The 19,890-nt window shown below is 43.4% G+C and overlaps 1 long non-coding RNA gene across 2 annotated transcripts; it reads left to right on the forward strand.

Annotated features, from left to right (window-relative positions):
• The first annotated feature begins 2 nt into the window (after positions 1–2).
• LOC105379527 (uncharacterized) lies at positions 3–17,774 on the forward strand. 2 transcript variants are annotated; one of them, XR_951312.3, is made up of 3 exons: positions 3–109; positions 247–2,322; positions 15,914–17,774. It is a non-coding gene; the product is annotated as an uncharacterized LOC105379527 (long non-coding RNA). The 2 variants fall into 2 exon arrangements; XR_007068536.1 differs by lacking the exon at positions 15,914–17,774 and adding an exon at positions 3,104–8,896.
• The last annotated feature ends 2,116 nt before the right edge of the window (positions 17,775–19,890 follow it).

The following is a 19,890-nucleotide window of genomic DNA, read 5'->3' on the forward strand; positions in this document are numbered from 1 at the left end:
GGGCGGTCCGGGGACGCGCGGGGGATGGCGGGACGTCGGCGATCGGAGATGCCAGGGGGCAGCTGGGACGTGGGCGGTCTGGAGAGGCGCGGGGGCAGCTGAGATGCAGGTGGTCCGGGACGCGCGGGGGCTGGCGGGTTGTGGGCGGTCCAGGGATGCGAGGGGGCAGCTGGGACGTGGGAGTTCCGGGGACGCGTGGGGTCGCCAGGAAGCGGGGTCTAGGACTTAGATCCGCCTTCTCTTCAGGCCATGCAGCCCCGAAGCTCCGAATCCTGGGATGACTCCTGTCCATGTTGGAAGGGACCCTGCCAGTCCTGGCAAGGTTCAAAGGCCTTAGGGCAAGAAATGTTAGTAGAGTCCTGGAAGACGATGTGGGGAACGGGTAGCGGCCACCGGATGGTGATCGTTCTTCTACAAGACCTTGACATGGATGGGGAGAAACAGAGAAGAACCTTCCAAGTTTGTCCCACTGGACATGCCCACCACACTTTACCAGCCCTTTCTAGAAGGCCTGTGCGTAACACATGAAAAAGCTCTGCTCGACCTTTCCCTGACCTTTTAAAAGAAAACATTTGCTGCATCTAATCCGCCTAGATATAAGGAGGTTCCCAAATGTATGACAGAGTCAGAAAATTACATGTCTTGTAAGTTACCATGTGCTTGTCTTTTGTTTTCCGTTTTTTTTCGTTTTTTTGTTTTTTGTTTTTGAGACGGAGTCTCACTCTGTCGCCCAGGCTGGAGTGCAGTGGCAGGATCTTGGCTCACTGCAACCTCTGCTTCCTGAGTTTCAACAATTGTGCTGCCTCAGCCTCCCGAGTAGCTTGGATTACAAGTGTGCACCACCACGCCTGGCTAATTTTTGTAGTTTTTAGTAGAGATGGGGTTTTGCCACGTTGGCCAGGCTGGTCTTGAACTCCTGACCTCAGGTGAGCCACCCACCTTGGCCTCTCAAAGTGCTGGGATTACAGGTGTGAGCCACCGTGCCTGGCCGTAAGTTACCATGTGCTTTTTAAAAAAATCATAGCAAAGGGGTGTCTTCTGGAAATGACATTTTGAAATGGTGTTATTAGACCACCCCTGGAAGGGACACAGTAACCACACGTCCACGTTCGTTCAGTGGGTGAGAGGACATGGAGGGGAGACCTGGGCAGGAAGGGAAGAGGGTTCCATGCCAGGCTGCTCATATTTAGAAGACATTTTCATATCATTGTCATTGTTTTCTTGTGTGCGTTTTATTCCTCGCTATTGTATACATCATTGGAAATTCTAAGTATTCTTTTGAAATATCTAGTCTTTCTAGATGTTCTGAAGTGCCTGATGTATGTTAAAATTACAGGTGGTAAAATAATAAATTTTGTAAATATCTTTTTGTTAAAATTCATATGCAGGGTTTTATTTTATTTTGATGTTGGTGGGGGGTGGGGAGGATGGCCAAATCCCTGCTTGATCAACACACATTGCGTTTGTGCTCTGGTTCAGGGGAGGAGAGAGGAGGAGAAAGTGCAGACTTCCAGGCCTCTGTGCGCACCGGGAGGAGAGATTAATGATCATCTCTTCTGTCTGTGTGTTTGTTTTATTTATCTATGGATATCCTGTGTATAAAGGATGAACAAGTCCTATTTATAACATCTAATCTTTTCAGGTGTTAAGTTGCCAGTGTATGACGGAAGTAGCGTTATTAAACGAACGCAGCTTGTACATATTGTGTTAAAATTCATAAAAAGCCAGTCTTCTGAAAAGAACCCTTGGGCCCTCCCTCCGCAGCCTCCGGCGCCAGCTGCAGGAAGACCTGGCCAGGGGAAGGCGGGCGGCACAAGCTGCTGCTGGCTGTGGGGAAGGCGGTGGAGCCCAGGCCTCCACAGGCTCCCCACAGGCTCCCCACAGGCTCGCGCGGCTCTGGTCGCTGGGCTCCGCACGGGCCGCGTGGGGGCGCCTGCTGGGAGCGAGGAGGCGCCATCCTGGCTCGCCTGCTCCAGGAGGACGCTCTGGGCCTGCGCAGATGCAGTTCTCCAGGATGGGCGCGGGCGCTGGGGGCCGCGCTCCTTGGGCTGCTGCGCCTCCACTGAGCCGCCTGGGTGTGAGGACCTCGCGCCGGCGCCTCCGGGAAGGACGCGGAGCCGCCGCGGCCGAGCCCAGGGCTGCAGCTGCTGCCCGACGCCCGCGAGAAGGCCCTTCCGCCACCGCCCGCGGGTTCGAACTTGGAGCAGCTGCTGCCAGCTGAGGCGCCAGCGGCGTCGGGAGCTCCTCAGAGTCAGTGTTTTGTGCTGGATTCGGCATGTCCTCTGAAAACTCGGGAATTTGTCACTGAAATGGTGACAGGAGGTGAGAAGTTTTTTTAGACGTTGCCTTCGCTGACCGGGCGCCGGGCTCAGGCCTGGAATCCCAGCACTTTGGGAGGCCGAGGCGGGCGGATCGCTTGAGCTCCGGAGGTGGAGAAGCTGCCTTCGTGGTAACTGTGGTCTTAAGTTCAGCTGAGAACGATAAATGGCTTTTCCTTGAATTGGCTGCTTTTGTGATTTCTCTCAGGCTCATCTTTCGTCAGTTAAAAATCCAGTGGTAGGTGTAGCTTAGAGACGGGAAATTTTTGGTTTTGTTTTGGCTACACGTAAGTCTTGGAAATTATTTTCTTTTACGTTCCAATGTGAGCAAATCCAGAAGGATGTCAGATTAAACACCGAATTTAACAAATTCAGCCGGGCACGGTGGCTCACGCCTGGAATCCCAGCACTTTGAGAGGCCGAGGCGGGTGGATGATGAGGTCAGGAGTTTGAGAACAGCCTGACCAACATAGTGAAACTCCGTCTCTACTAAAAATACAAAAATTAGCCGGGCGTGGTTGTGCGCGCCTGTAATCCCAGCTACTCAGGAGGCTGAGGCAGGAGAATCGCCGAGATTGCGCCACTGCACTCAGCCTGGGCGACAGAGCGAGACTTCGTCTCAAAAAAACAAAAAAAAAAATCAATCATTGGAATACTGTTGTTCATTACAATTAATGAACGTTTGATACACGCATAAACGCACTAAATTCACAAGTACATATAAGTAAAATAAGCCAAAAAAAAAAACTACATCCTGTATGATGACACTTTTATACATTCTACAGAATAGAAACTGAAGTGACATGAAGGTCGGGAGTTGAATGGAGAAAAGGTGAGAGAAAAGAGGGAGGAAGGCGTTGCAAGAGAATAAGAGAAAATGTTGAGGGTAATTGATTTGTTTTCTATCTTAATAATGGTGATGGTTACATCAATAATTTCCAAATTGTACATTTTGTGTGTTAATTAGAATTTTATATTATTCAAGCTATTACAAATAAATACCTGTATAAATTTCTTAGGGACGGTGTAAGGGAGATGGATAAATCACATAAAAAGTCAGATATTTCTGAATGTACAATGAATAACCCTTAGCTCTATCTCTATTTTTTGGTAATTCTAAAATGCAGCAGTTTTTTTTAATGTTTTTATTACAAGAAGGGTTTCTTCAAACCACACCAGGTATGCGTAACTCTGGGATAAAGTTGGCTAAGGGAGCTGTGGGATCCGGTGGAGAGGAGCACAGGTCCCGATCCTGGAGACCATTCTTGTCACATGTGAGCTCCTGGACACATCTCATAGCTCCCTCATGCTTCTGGGTTTACATTCACATCTGTAAATGGAGGACCAATGGGCATCTGCCTCTAACAATGTATTTTCGTGTGTTAAGATAATGTATGCTAAATGTTTACCACAGCACAATCTTTTACTAAGAAATTACATTTTTTCCAAATATTATCATTGTCTTCAAGCCCCACCACCCACTAGAAAACTTCATCTGCTCTGTGCCTTGCCCTGTCCTCAGACATCCTGCCCAAGAGACTTCTATATAGTAGGAGACATGCAAATAGTTCCCTCCCTCTGCTGATGAAAACCAGCCCAGCCTTGACCCTGCAGCTCTGGGAGAGGAGCTCAAGTGCCAGGATTCCCAGGTGTTTTCACTTGGTGATCAGAACTTAACACAGAGGACTCACCATGTTGTTTGGGCTGAGCTGGGCTTTCCTTGTTACTATTTTAAGAGGTGATTCATGAAGAACTACAGATATTGTTTGTGAGTGGATATTAGAGAAACAGTGGATATGTGTGGCAGTTGCTGACCAGGATTTCTCTGTGTTTGCAGGTGTGCAGTATGAGGTGCAGCTGGTAGAGTCTTTTTTTTTTTTTTTTTCACTTTTTAGCGAACATCCATGGGTTACAAAATAATGGGTTGGCTTTTCTTCCAACACTTTACAGACACCATCAATTTTCCTCTTGCTTATAAGGTTTTAACCAGAAGAATGCTGTCATCATCTTTCCTGTTCTTTTAGAAGGAATGCCCCCTCAACTCATCTCCACTTGTCTGCATGTATTTCTATTTGTCTTTGGTTTTCAGCAGTTTTAATAAGATTCACCTAAATGTGTGTGTGTGTGTCGAGGGGTGTTATGCTATTGTTCTGTGTTCTCTGAGATGCATGGATTCACCGTTTACTCTGTCTCCATTTTTGTGAAAACAATTAGAAAAAAAGTCAGTGTGAGCCTAGAAACAAGCCTCCCTGAAGTGGGCACTGGACCACCTGGGGGCGCTCAGGACCCACTGAGCACAAGAGCCAGCCCCAGGGCAGGTGCAGAGGGGTGTTAAGGTCTGGTTTCCTGTCAGCCCTGTGGCTTCCTCTCCATAAAACAGTTTCCTTTGTGGCACATCTCTGGATTCCTTATCCTTTTTTTCCTGTGAAGTCTGAAGAAGAAACATTTGTCGTAACAAGAGAAAAACTTTCTCATATGCACCAAAGGCAGAGTCACCTACAGTCATTTACTCCTGTTTCTGAATGTCAATAAGGTGTCAATGCTTCTGAAGTTAATCAGCTAAATCTATAAAAGGTGCGGTGTTTAACTCAGCATGGCAGCCCAGCTCAACAGAACTCCAAGGGCCAGTGAGCAAGCAGGCAGGATAAAGTGCATGCTGGGCATTGGGGCAGAGGGAGTTAGCATCCAGTGCAAGAGAAGAAAGCCCCCGTGGTGGTCATTGTCAGGACTCCAAGCCCACAGTTCCAATTGTAGGTGATACTGGGCAAAGGAAGAGAGACCCCACCAATGGTTAGTGTGGATTTCGAGTCTGATGGTTCCACACTCACACTCCAGGTGAATATGAAAACATTTATTAACTCTATTTTTGAGGTGTCTGCTGAGAGCAGCACAGGCCTCTCAAGAAATTTCAAACTGGAATTTCCTCAGTAGACAGGAAAGGAGGCTGGCTCAGGGCTTTATAATGATTTGGTGGTGGGGTTGGGGGTGCGTTTCTACTCAGGAGAAGGAGATTGTGTGATTTAAACCTCACAGGGGCATCAGATAAGGGAGCTTCTGTGATTTCTTACTAGATTTACCACATGCAGGGGATAAGGAGGAGGAAGAATAAACCTTAATTCGTCAGCAACGAGGCACCAAAAATAGGACCTGACGCTTTATTCTCCCTAGCAGCTTAAGAAAATGAGTGAAAAAGAGAGAGAAGAGTCCACTATGTGTGAAAAGCAAACAGGTCTAAAGAAAATAAAAATTTTATTACTGTAAGCACATAATAAAAAGAAAGAGAAGAATGAATGAGACAGGCAGGGGTGCTGAATCAATGTCCTGAGTGGGGCCTTTTCATTATCCACAGTTATCAGTTAATTCTGAAGGTCTCAGGTCAGCTTCCTGCTTCAAAATATCACAGGCCCTTACAGTATATGTGAAAATCCTCGGTTTGTCGTTCTTCACTAAAGTAGCCTTATAATTAGATGTACTTCTGAATTTAATCTTCAGTTGTGTTAAATAAAAAAATAACACAATCTACAATTTAGGAAAGTGAGAGTTTATTTTTATCAAGGGTTACAGCCATCCCATATGCTGGAAAGCATAGCTTTTGGTAAAGACGAGAGAAAGGCACTCCCAGGAAGAAGGGGTTGGGCAGAAGCTTTATGCTGAAGGGTTTGGCTAAACAGACATAATCAACAGGTTACAGGAGGGGCTACTGATGTTCATGGAGGTGGTCCTCACACATGCATACTGAATAAACATTCCTGTAACGTATGACCCCTGTTCACTTACCAGTGGAGACTTAGCATTTAAATTCATTACAGTCAGGCTCTATGTGCCAATAGCAGAAGCAGAAACACAAAGGCACTCAGGGTGCAGCCTCTGTAAACGGCCAGAGCCAGGCCATGGTGAGTGGTCTCTGATCAGGAGAAAGGTCCTGATATCACTCTAGTGTTCAATCAAAGCTGGGGTTATGGCTTGTGGAACAGGGGTCAGTTCATCAGGGGATGGGCTGCAATTGTCTTCATAGTGCTTGTCTCAGTGCCGGTGCTTACTGAGCCACTAGAGAAAACGAATAACCTATTGGCAGTTAGAAGACAGTTTACCTTTTAAGTGTGGGAGTGAGTGGCAGAACCCTTGCCTGACATGGCTTTAGGTCTTGTTTATAATTTGACATCTTATTGCCACAGAGATTCTGTTCTGTCATTCTTTTGATCTCTATTTTAACATTAGTGTTGGTCATTGTCGTGTCTAAACCGCAAAGGGGAGTGAGTGTAAGAGGCACGTCTGATCTTGTCATGGCTGGGATCTCAGTTTTTAGGCTTTTCTGGAGTCCCTTAGATGAACAGATGGACTATTTAGTCAGTTGGGGCACTTAGGATTTTATTTTTGGTTTACAGTTCATAAATATGAACCCTAGTATTGACATTGTGCATATTCACTGCTGTGTTGTGGTTAAAATTACCTGGTAAGATTCCCTTCAAAGCAGTTCAAGAGCAATATTCTACCGTGATGTTTCTTCCAGTAAATACCATTCCCTGTTTTAATGTCATTAGAGGCTATTGAAAAGATGTAGGAAAATGATAGCTTAATCTGTCGATGACTGGAGTGGGTAAGTTACAGTCATCACTTTCAATACTTTGTCATGCGTGCATGTAATAGGAAGAGGTGAGCACCGGGGGTAAATCTCTAAATGTATGCGCCTTCCAGCCACCAAATCATAAGGTGATAACTGATGTCTCACTGAGGGACTTGACTATAATGCTCTAGTGCTAGGGAGAGAAACTTTGGCCAAGGAAGTTCAAGATTTTCTTAAGGTTTTGACAAGTTTAGTTCAAGTATGACAATTTTCTTCAACATTTTCAGAAGATTGTGTTTGGGAATGATGCTGAGTTATATAAGTAATGCTAATGCCTTCTGTGTTTAGATAATATTATAAACAAGACTGTTTGGTATAATGACCCAGTACAATATGTATACTTTTAGTTGTTACGCGATTTCATTTTCCTTTAGGACTTTACTTTCTGAGTTACATGAGTCAGGTCCCTAAAATATAGGCGTGCATCTGAAATTTATTCTTCTGTTGAGAATTTTTACGTGCTCCAGAAGATGTGAGAAACTTCTTTGCGTGAAGAGCATCCCAAAGTCAGGCACTCCTGTAAAACATGTACTTAATCCTTGTCTTTGGCTTATTGATGGGCTCTGTTGACTACAATAACTTCTGTCATGCTGGCTGACTTGACATCAGGTAGAGGAACAGATTCTGAATGCACTACTCAATTGAGTGCATAACCTCCAGTTTTGTTACTGATGTATGATTCATCAGAGATGTTACTAGATCAAGGATTTCAATCGGAATCTAATCTAAAAGATGTGAATAAACTTTCCTAATTTAGATAGTATTACTGTGAGCACACTGCTAGTATTCAGCCATGTCTCCTGTCTGTCACACTGAATTCACGCTAACTTTGACCTAAAAGTTAACACTTGTTCTAATGTTCAAATATGTTATTTTTATTTTAATGTCTCTAGATTATTATGTGTGGCTATTTTAGCCAAGAGTGAAGGAAAGCAAGGTTAACTGACTAAAAATGAGAAAAAGCACAACCTAATGTAATGGAAGTCAGGGCATCAGCATCTCCAGGCTTGTCTATTTCTAGAGTTCATGCAACCAGGGGATTTCTTTTCTCATTTTTACACAAAGAAACACCCAAATTGTCCGTTTCATCTCCCATTGACTCTTATCATCTGTCTCTGTCAGTTTGCTTAGAATTTTGGCCTCCAGCTGAATCCAAGTTGCTGCAAAAACATGATTTCATTCATTTTTACAGCTGCATGGTATTCCACTGTGTATAAGTACCACGTTTTCTTTTTTCAGTCTATAACTGATCGGCATTTAGTTTTATTATATGTCTTTGGTACTGTGAATAGCACAGTGATACACACGTGAGTTGATGTGTCTTTTTGTTCCAATGATTGGTTTTCTCTTGGACATATACCCAGTAATGAGATTGCTGAGGGGAATGGTAGCTCTGTTTTAAATTCTTTGAGAAATCTCCAGATTGATTTCAACAGTGCTTGGGCCAAATTATATTTTCACCAAAAGTGTGTAAGTGGTCCCTTATCTCTATAGCCTTGCCTGCATCTGTTAATTTCTGATCTTTCAGTGATAGCAGTTCTGACATATGTGAGAAAGTATATCATTTGGTTTTGATTCGCACTTATCTGATGACTGAATATGCTGAGCATTTTTATAGGTTAGTTGGCCACTTCTATGTTTGTATTTGAGAAGTTTCTGTGCATGTCCTTTCTCCATTTTTAATGCGGTTATTTGGTTTATGCTGGTGATTAAGTTCCCTATGAATTACCACCTTACATACACTAAGATAATCAGCATTCAAAAAAGAAAAATGAATAGAAAAACATAACCACTTGTAGGTATAGACATACTGAATTTGGAATGGTCATGGCTTGCATGTTGGTATTGAAATGGGACAGCAACTTTGGAAAATGGTCTTCACAGAAAACCTCATAAATGTAGCTAGTGTCACCACTCACAGAAGTAGATGGAGAATACAACTCAAGTGTCCATCGACTGCCAGAGGGATGAAGACGCCGCGGTGCGTCTGTGCATCTGTAACCCACAGGGATGAAGACGCTGTGGTGCTTTAAAAAGGAGTGAAGCACTGACATAGGCTGCAACTCGGATGGGCCTTGTAAACATTGGGTGAGTGAACTGAGGGAGACACGGAAGTCTACATCCTGAATTGTCCTATTGACATGAAGTATGCAGAGGAGGAAAATCCCTAGAGACAGATCACAGGGGGTGAGTGGAGGGGAAATGGAGAGTGACGCTTAATGGAGCTGAGGTTTTCTTTTCTGTGATGAAAATGTTCCCAAACCAAATACTGGTGATATTTGCACAACATTGCAAATGTGTAAAGTATCACTGACCCGTACACTTAATCGTGGCTAAAATTGTAAATTTTATGTCATGTGTATCTCAACACAATAGAAATGAGCACCACATTTTGTTTAGTGACTCAACAACAATAACATTTAGGTTTAAATTCTGGATTCCCCAACAGAACCAGTGCTTCCTGCTGGAGCTGGATCCATCAGCCCCCAGGGAAGGGACTGGAGTGGGTCAGGTGCACAGGTCATGAAGGGAGCACAAATTCTAACCCACTCCTCAAGAGTCCAGTCACCACCTCCAGATCTATGTCCAAAAACAGCTCTTCGTATGGCTGAGTGACATTAGCAACAAGCACACAACCATGTTTGTTTTTTTGTTTTGTTTTGGTGTGTGTGTGTGTGTTTTTGATAGAGTCTTGTGTCACCCAGGCTGGAGTGCAGTGGGGCAATCAATCTTGGCTCACTACGAGCTCCACCTCCTGGGTTCAAGTGATTCTCCAGCCTCAGCCTCCAAGTAGCTTGGACTGCAGGCACTCACCACCACACCTGGCTAATTTTTGTATTTTTAGTAGAGACAAGGTTTCACTATGTTGGCCAGGCTGGTCTTGAACTCCTGACCTTCTGATCCACCCGACTCGGCCTCCAAAAGTGCTGGGATTACAAGTATAAGCCACTGTACCCAGCCACAAACAAGTATTTTTAAGCAAAAGACACAGTGAAGAGACTTCAGTATGAGCCCACACACAAACCTTCCTGTGGGAGTTTACAGAACAGCAGTGGGTGCTGAGGACAGAAGCCAGCACCCAGGAACCAGCAGGGAAACCCAGGGGGCATTTGGCACCGCCTGAAGGCTCAGGACCGTTGTGGGGCTCAGTGGTCAGGCAGGCTCAAGGTTCAGCCTCAGAGCAGGTGTAGCAGGCGGGGAAAGGCTCTGAAGACGGAGTTTAGTGTCACCTTCTCATTTCCACCACTAAACACCCTCCAGCACATCTAGCAGGCGGGGAAAGGCTCTGAAGACGGAGTTTAGTGTCACCTTCTCATTTCCACCACTAAACACCCTCCAGCACATCTAATTCTAATCTAATGTATGGGTGTTCATGTGTTTAGAGAATATTATTTATGTTATGAATCTATAGCCATCTGTGGGTGCATCAAGTTAACCTCTTCAACCTATGTGGACCCTGTTCATTAGGAATAAGTCCTTGTATTTGAGGACCTCACAAATTAATAATTATGTAGAATCACTTTCTTTTTCAGTCTCCTTTCCTTCCTCTTTCTTTCTTTCTCACTCACACACTGACAAACACACGGGGTGCCATAACATTAATTACCTGATGTATTAAAGAATATTGATTCATTTGCAACTTGACCAGTTTAGCTGTTGTTCATGTTGTTGTAAGATCAGGAACATGTTTCTCAGCTGTGTACTCCTCTAAGCTGAGCAGCAGCTTTATTTGAAATACACAGAAACTGAAAACAATCCAAATATTAATCAGCACCTTCATAAGTAAACAAATTGTGGAAAAGTCATTTATTGGGATAGTACCCACTACTACAATCAGTAAATGTTGGATACGATCAACAGCATGGTTCAATTCACAAGTACATATGATGAGTATAGTGAGCCAAAGCACATACATATGATTCCGTTTTATAAACTGTACAAAGTGAATACTCATTGGAAATTACATAACAAAGATCACTAACTGACTTCTCCATAGTAAGAGAAGCGAAGGTATAGGAGGAGAAATTGCGAGAGACAAAGAGAAAATTGAGAGGCGAATTCATTTGTTTTCTCTGTGTATGGTCATTAGGTCAATGTTTGTCAAATGGTGAACATATTGTGTGAAGATTATATGTCAGTATTACCTCATTAAAGTTATTATAAATAAAAGTCTAATGTGGTAGAAAAAGATGAAGAGAGAAATAAAAATAATACAAGAAAAGTCATGAACTCCTGAATGAATTAACCCTTAGTTTTTCTCTATTACTTACAAAAACACCAAGATACAGCCAAATAATATCACGATATCATTATAAGAAGAGTGTTTTGTAAACCTCACTGGGAATTTCTAGCTCTTTCCTAGAGTTAATTTTGGGAACAGTTGGATCCAATTGTGAGAAACGCAGGCCGGACACTGAGACTGGCTCTTATGAGATGTGAGCTCTTGTCTATGTCACATGGTCCCTCCATACTTGGGGGTTTACATTCACATCTGTAAATGAAGGAAACATTGACTCTCAAAGAACATATTTCATGTGCATGTAAAAGTATGAATGCTAATGAGAATTAATTACTTATGAAGTATAATCACCCACATCCACTCTTGGACACAGCCCACTCTGAGGCATCCGTTACAGAACTCATTATATAGTAGGAGACATGCAAATAGGGTCCTCCCTCTGCTGATGAAAACCAGCCCAGCCCTGACCCTGCAGCTCTGGGAAAGGAGCCCCAGCCCTGAGATTCCCAGGTGTTTCCATTCGGTGATCAGCACTGAACACAGAACTCACCATGGAGTTTGGACTGAGCTGGGTTTTCCTTGTTGCTATTTTAAAAGGTGATTCATGGATAAATAGAGATGTTGAGTGTGAGTGAACATGAGTGAGAGAAACAGTGGATATGTGTGGCAGTGTCTGACCAGGGTGTCTCTGTGTTTGCAGGTGTCCAGTGTGAAGTGCAGCTGGTGGAGTCTGGGGGAGTCGTGGTACAGCCTGGGGGGTCCCTGAGACTCTCCTGTGCAGCCTCTGGATTCACCTTTGATGATTATGCCATGCACTGGGTCCGTCAAGCTCCGGGGAAGGGTCTGGAGTGGGTCTCTCTTATTAGTTGGGATGGTGGTAGCACCTACTATGCAGACTCTGTGAAGGGTCGATTCACCATCTCCAGAGACAACAGCAAAAACTCCCTGTATCTGCAAATGAACAGTCTGAGAGCTGAGGACACCGCCTTGTATTACTGTGCAAAAGATACACAGTGAGGAGAAGTCAGTGAGAGCCCAGACAAAAACCTCCCTGCAGGAAGACAGGAGGGGCCTGGGCTGCAGAGGCCGCTCAAGACACACTGAGCATAGGGTTAACTCTGGGACAAGTTGCTCAGGAAGGTTAAGAGCTGGTTTCCTTTCAGAGTCTTCACAATTTCTCCATCTAACAGTTTCCTCAGGAACCCTGTCTAGATCTGTGATCTGGATCTGCTGAAACTGCCTGTGTCACCTTCCTCACCTGTGATTTTGGGGGAGCTGATTGTGGACACTCCAGTGTGTGGGATTTCTTGATGACAGCAATTGTGTCTTCTGTCTAGGCATGTCTAGGGCTGGCCATCAGGAAGGGCAGGCTGGAATTTTTGGAAAGAGGCGCACCTGCCATCCACCAGGAAATTTTGTTGTCTTTTGTTCTGCTAGAATTAAATCAGACACACCAAGGTTAACTAGCACTATCTTCCTAGCTCGAGAAACTTGATAGCAAGCTTGAATAACACTTGTATGAAACCATCAGAGCAACACCTAGAATAGTGTCTGATTTAATAATTGAGACTATGGTCTAGCCAAGGAGACACATAAAACGTGATTTCCAAGGTTGGTTCATATTTTATATTTATCAATAGAATCTGGCTGGTATTATAAACAGCTTTGCCAAAATATGTGTGTTAGTGTTGGTCTTCGGAGAAGCAAACTCTGTGACTGGATTAGCTTCGTGTACAGTTTCCTTCGTGTACAGTTTCCCTGTCCACTCTTCTGAGAGGAAATGCAGAGGTGGTGGAAGGGGTCTGGGGTAGCTGAATGCATGTGAGGGAAGTCGGTCCCTGAGTGAAGGAGAAAGGGAGGAGGACTGGGTGGAACTTTCCTAAACTTCTGTGTTGTTCTATGAAGGTCCAGCAAGGTCACTGAATCAGAGTCGTGTCACAGTTTCCCATCGGGGACCCAGTGACTCCCAGCAGTGGCTCTGCTCAGATCAGCGCAGAGCTTGTTCATCTCCTAAGAGTGGAGCACAGGACGTGGCTCCAGCACCAGCCATGGCATGGAAGATAGAGAGCAGCCCTGGGTGCCTGGGTCAGGTGCATTGTGCTCCCTGCAGGTGGAGGGAGGGAAGTGCTGACTCAGGGCCCAGAGACTGTGGGTTCTATACAGAACATACACTTTTACTTCATTTCTGTGGATGACATAGAAACAAACATGCAGTCTGTAAACAATGGTGATTCCTACATTTGCCCCAGTTGCTTTATTCCTTGATTCTGCAGAATGTCCTGGCACAGAATTGCCTTTCTCATGTGAAATTGTGATGTGTGTTCAGGATGTGTGATCCCTACTTTCATTGTTTTCCTCCATGTACAGAGCTCCTAAATAGAGTACAGCTGACCCTCCTTCTACACTGTTCCTCTCCTCCCCACAGGAAGAGCAGATAATTACCTGAGGCTGAATCTGAGGTGGGATCTGTCCTCTGAACCTCAGAGCCTGCAGAGACCCCCAGCTGCAGATTCATGGAGTCAGGTGTTTGTACATGTGGGAACCTTGAGCTGTTCTTTTGTCAGTGAACACTCCTTAGAACTAATTGTGGGTTCAGAATTAGGACACCCATTGATCTATCACACCTCAGCTCATTCTGCCACTCAGAATCTCCAGAAATTCAGGAAATGGTTGAATGTACATTTTTGTGACAAATTTTTCTCATTTCACTTAGTTGTGAGTTTTGTTAGCAGAAAGTGCTACCATTTATGGGTCCCAAACTGATGAAGCTCATTTGCTTCAACAGAAGTTAGGAGGCTCCTAAAACTTCTCATCATCCCCTCTCTCTGCACTTCATGTGAAATTCAGTTTTACCTGGAATTCTGGTGTGTTGGTTTAGCCAGATTTCCCCATCCTCCATGTCTGATTTTCCTGGGTATCTGATCAGTTTCCTTGCCCTTCACCATACCTCGGTGACGTCTAATCACCCTGGCCCAACATCAAGAATTCTGGCAGGTTGGTTTAAGCAGGATTTGCTGTGCCCCTGATGTTTCCTCTCAGTAATTTTCCATCTTCCGGACCCCACCCTGCTGCTTGGCTTTAAATCCCCACATTTCCTTTCTGCATTTGGAGTTCAGCTGAATCTCTCTCCTCACTGCAAAACACCATTGCCCTGATCCCAACACCTACCATGAGGACCCTGGATAAAGTCTTCCTTACTGTGCTGGAACAAGTGTCTTTACTTGATATTTTTTCTTTAATAAATCTACCTTTAGTGCTTCCTAAGTTGCTCAAGGAACCTCAAAAAGTAAGATAAGTGCGATTATCCATTTTACTGTGTGTGTATGTGTGAATTTCAATTTCCATGTGTGGTGTCCAGAAGTCCTGAGCACAAACAGTTTTGCTTCTCTGTCCAATTCTTTGCTTCTGAAACCCAAGAGTCATCCCAACATTGGTAAATTGGCGATTTGTTTTTACTATTTAGTGACTGACATATTTCACTTAACCTGAAGCTTCACAAAGACAGTGATGAAAAGTAGATAGAGGACTTGTTTGGAAATGCCAGATTTAGGGTAGACTTTACCACCCACGTGTGTCTGGAGATCTCCTTAGGATTCCAAGAACAGGGTGGTTTTTTTCCACCACAGGACAAGGATGAGAACCTCCAAGCTGTGATGATAAAGGACAGGCAGGGCCATGTGTGGACAAGGACGGGCTGCTGCCACGTCCAGAGTGTTCTCTCCTAGCAACGCCGCCATCTCCTTCCTCACACTGTGGTATTTGTCAGATGGGAAACATGCCTAGAATTTATCTTTGACATATGGATGGAAGCCCAGGCTAGAGGCATTTGACAGCTTATTTCTGAACCTCCTTCTTTAAGGAATGCCCAGATCCCTTGCTCTGCTTCTTGGTTCTTAACCCCTTTAGCTCCCTTCCGCTCCTGCGCCCATGCACTGCCTCTTTACGGCCACTTCCCCACACCCTTCACTGTAGCACCATTTTCTTGGGCTCCTTGGAAATATCACAGCTTTGGTTTAACTCACAGATCAGGCACACTCATGGGCCCCTCCAGAGGCTCTCGATTTCCCTCCCTCAGGCTCCTCCTTGGGGTCCTAACTTGGCCATCTCTATTCTCTCTTCTGAGCCTGACCATCCACAATCCATCCCAGCTGGACTTGTGTATAGCAGTGGGTTAACTCAGCAGGTATGAATTGTTCAAACCCTGCACATTCCTAAAAAATAAATAACTAAAAAAAAACAACTTTTGTTCATTTATTGCTGTTACCTACTGTGATGAGATCTCCGAGTCCATAAAATATTGCACCTGATAACAGTGTCTGTGGATGTCTGTAGCCTTGGGACATGCGGTACAAGTTTAATCACAGTGATTTATAGTGAATGTCTACTTTTGTTTTGCTGGAGAGGGCTGTCGTCTGAGTATTGTGGTCAGTTCCCCAGGTGTTCCATGGTCTATGATTCATTCCCCAAACACAGCCCTGGACAAGAAAGCTCAACGGCACTCCCCTTGTTGTCAACACTTCACACAAGCCATCTTACCTCACAGCTGAACAATTACACATGTGTAGAAGGCTCCACTGTGAGAGGACCCCTGAGAGCTTGTGCCTGGATTCTCCAGGGCTTCACTCCTTGTGCCTTTTGTCTTTGCTTATTTTAAATTGTATCATTTTGCTGTAATAAACTGTTCCTGTGAATAGAACAGTTATGAGTCCTATGTTTTTACTGATTTTTCAGCCTACAGGTGGCAGATGAGAACTCTCAACACAGTTGTGTTAGAAGAAGGATTTCCTAGAGAGACCCTGACTCAATGATGATACATGGCTGAAGCATTGCATGGAAAACGTAAGTGTTCAGGTATGGAATGGCAAAATTTGATACCTGGGGAGTGACAGAATACTACAGTCTATTACAGCAGCTGAGCTGAAATCGGTTTCTGGAGGTAAATGGGATTTAGAAATTATAAATCCAACTCCCAAGGAGCTTGGCTCTGTTGATACATAATGAAATGTGAAATGATTAGAAATAGCCTAAATAATGCAATTTCCATCTGTGAGAACTAAGTGAAAATCCAGGAGAGAGTTGGCAGGGAGAGGGATACTGCACCAACCTCAGATTTTGACCATTTTCATTTAGGGCTGATGGGCTCATGACCACTAGAGTTAGCAATTACACTGTGATAAAAGATAAAAGCTTCACAAACTCTACCCACCCAGAAGGTGGCTCAGGTGGTGAAATGGGGAGAGTAAGGCATGAAACGACTGAAATATGGGAGGATAGTGAGATGGGTTCTCTCTTTTTGAGTTTTATCTTTTGCTTCTTTAATAATTTTTGTTAATCTGGATTTGGAGAATGACTAGTATAAAAGTGGATTCTGTTTTGAGTCCCTTAGAATGGAGGAGAATGTGTGGGCCAATGTTGTGCCCAGAGACTACTACGGAACAATAGTAAATGAATGTACATGACCCAAACACAAAGCTTTGTGGTTGCTGATGGGAGAGCTGCACTGCCCTGGCCTACTGGATAACAGCTTCTCCAAAGTGTATTTACCCTGACAATGGAGATTGCCTTTCTCTTTTAAGTGAAAAAAATGGAACACTACAATAAAGTAGTGGTAATGCTGTGTGTGTATGTATAAGACATTCTGGAGTGGGTTTGTGATAATTGGGATATGTATCACTTATCCTTTTGTTTGTATACATTTATGGGGTGAAAGTGCCGTTTTGTTACATGGATATATTGTTGAGGGATAAAATCTGGGCTTTGAGTATAGTCATCATCTGGATGGTGTATATTGTACCCATTAAGTAACTTCTCATCCCACATGCCACTCCCACCCTCCCAACCTTCCAAGTCTCCAATATTTCTTATTCCACACTCTATATCCATGTGTACATATTATTTAGCTCTCACTTATATATGACATGTGGTATTCAACTTTATTCTTCTGAGTTCTTTAACTTAAGATAGTGGCCTACAGTTTCATCCATGCTACTGGAAAATACATAATTTCATTCCTTGTCTATTATTGAGTAGTAATTAAATGTGTATATGTACATACACATGTATAGTGCGTGTATGTGTGGGGATGTGTGTGTACATATATGTATATGTATGAACATATACAACTGTTTCCTTTATCTAACCATTTACTAATAGAAACTTAGTTTGGTACCATGTATTTGCTATTGTGAATAGAGCAGCAATAAACATATAAATGCAGGCATCTATCTGATATAATAATTTATCTTCCCTTGGGTAGATACCCAGTAGTGGGACTGCTGAATGAAATATTAGTTCCAATATTAATTATTTGCAAAATCTCCATACTGTTTTCCATAGAGCTTATAGTAATTTACATTTCCACTAGCAGTGTATAAGCACTCCTGCTTCTCTGCATCCTTACTAGCATCTGTTTTGTTTTGTTCCATTTTTCTTTTTGACTTTTTAACAGTAGCTGTTCTGACTGGTATAAGATGGTATCTCACTGTGTCTTTAAATTGCATTTTTCTGATGATTAATGTCATTGATTATTTTTTCATATGCTGGTTGATGTTTTTTTGTCTTTTGAAAAATAAACGTTGTAGTAATTTGCTCATTTTTAATGTGGTTATTTGTAGGTTTTTGTGTTGCTTTTGTTTCTTATAGTTTCTAAATATTAGCTCTTTGTCAGATACAGAGTTTAAAAATAGTTTTATCCCATCCTGTACACTTTCTGTTAAGTTTTTTGGTTATTTGTTTTGCTGTTCAGATGCTTTGCTTCTTATTTGTATTAAGTCCAAATGGTCTATTTTGTTTTTTATTCTGTTTACTTTTAAAGTTGTAGTCATGAATTCTTTGCCTAGGACAATCTCCAGAACAATATTTCCTAGAATAGCATCTGCAACTTTCAGACTCTCAGGTCTCCCAGTTAAGTCTTTTATCCATATTGGCTTAATTTTGGATATAGTGAGAGATACGGGTCCAGTTTTATTCTGCTGCAAATGGCTGTTCAGTTTTTCCTGCACAATTTATTTAACAAGGTGACCTGTTCCCAGTGTATGCTTTTTGTCTAGTTTTTCACAGTCAGTTTGGCTGCAGGCATTTGACTTTATTTATGAAATATCTATTCTGTTCCACTCATCTATGGCTTTCTGCTAGATTGTTACTTGTGTATAATAATACTACTGGTTTTTGTATGCTTTTTTCATTTATTCTAAAACTTTACTGAATTAACTCATCAATTCTAGGAGTATTTTGAAAGAATATTAGTTTTTTTTAAGTACAAAATCATATTATCAGCAAACACAAAGAGTTTGACTTCCTCTTTTCCAATTCGAGTCCCTTTCTTTCTTTCTCTTGCCTAATTTCTCTGGCTAGGATTTCAAGTTCTATATTGATTAAGAGTGGTGAAAGTGGGCATCCTTGACGTGTTCTGAGTCTTAGGAGGAATACTTTCAACATATTCCTATTCAGTATAATGTTGTTTCGGAGTTTGAAGGTGATTTATGGAGAATGAGAGATGTTGAGTGCGAGTGGACATGAGTGAGAGAAACAGTGGATATGTGCGGCCGTTTCTGACCAGGGTGTCTCTGTGTTTGCAGGCGTCCAGCATGAGGCGCAGCTGGTGGAGGCTGGGGGAGGCTTGGTACAGCCTGGGTAGGTCCCTGAGACTCTCATTTGCAGCTTCTGGATTCACCTTCAGTGACTTCTGGATGCACTGGATCCGCCAGGCTTCTGGGAAAGGGCTGGAGTGGGTTGGCCGTATTAGAACCAAACGTAACAGTTACACGACGGAATGCGCTGCATCTGTGAAAGGCAGGTTCACCATCTCAAGAGATGATTCAAAGAACACACTGTATATGCAAATGAATACCCTGAAAACCAAGTACACGGCCATCTATTACTGTACTAGAGACACAGTGAGGGGAGGTTAACCTGGGCCCATACACAAATCTCCCTGCAGGGGCGCGCAGGGCCAACTGGGGGCGCTCGGGACCCACTGAGGACGGGACAGGTGGGCGGGTGCAGGGGGAGGTTTCCTTTATCAGCTGCAGGAGGCGGGTTTGTTTTTGCAGGAATCTGGAGCCTTATGAGGTTTTGATATTTTACTATGCTTATTTATCATGATTTTTTAAAATTGGGATTTGTGTTTTAGTAATTTTTAAATTTATATGTAGGGGTATTTTTAAAAATTAAGTTTTAGGGTACATGTGCACAATGTGCAGGTTAGTTACATATGTATACATGTGCCATGTTGGTGTGCTGCACCCATTAACTCGTCACTTAACATTAGGTATATCTCCTAATGCTATCCCTCTCCCCTCCCCCCACCCCACAACAGGCCCCGGTGTGTGATGTTCCCCTTCCTGTGTCCATGTGTTCTCATTGTTCAATTCCCACCTATGAGTGAGAACATGCAGTGTTTAGTTTGTTTGTCCTTGCGATAGTTTGCTGAGAATGATGGTTTCCAGCTTCATCCATGTCCCTACAAATGACATGAACTCATCATTTTTTATGGCTGCATAGTATTCCATGGTGTTTATGTGCCACATTTTCTTAATCCAGTCTATCATTGTTGGACATTTGGGTTGGTTCCAAGTCTTTGCTATTGTGAATAGTGCCACAATAAACATACGTGTCCATGTGTCTTTATAGCAGCATGATTTACAATCCTTTGGGTATATACCCAGTAATGGGATGGCTGGGTCAAATGGTATTTCTAGTTCTAGATC

This window comes from Homo sapiens (assembly GCF_000001405.40).
Source record: "Homo sapiens chromosome 14 unlocalized genomic scaffold, GRCh38.p14 Primary Assembly HSCHR14_CTG8_UNLOCALIZED".
NCBI classification, from domain to species: Eukaryota; Metazoa; Chordata; class Mammalia; order Primates; family Hominidae; genus Homo; species Homo sapiens.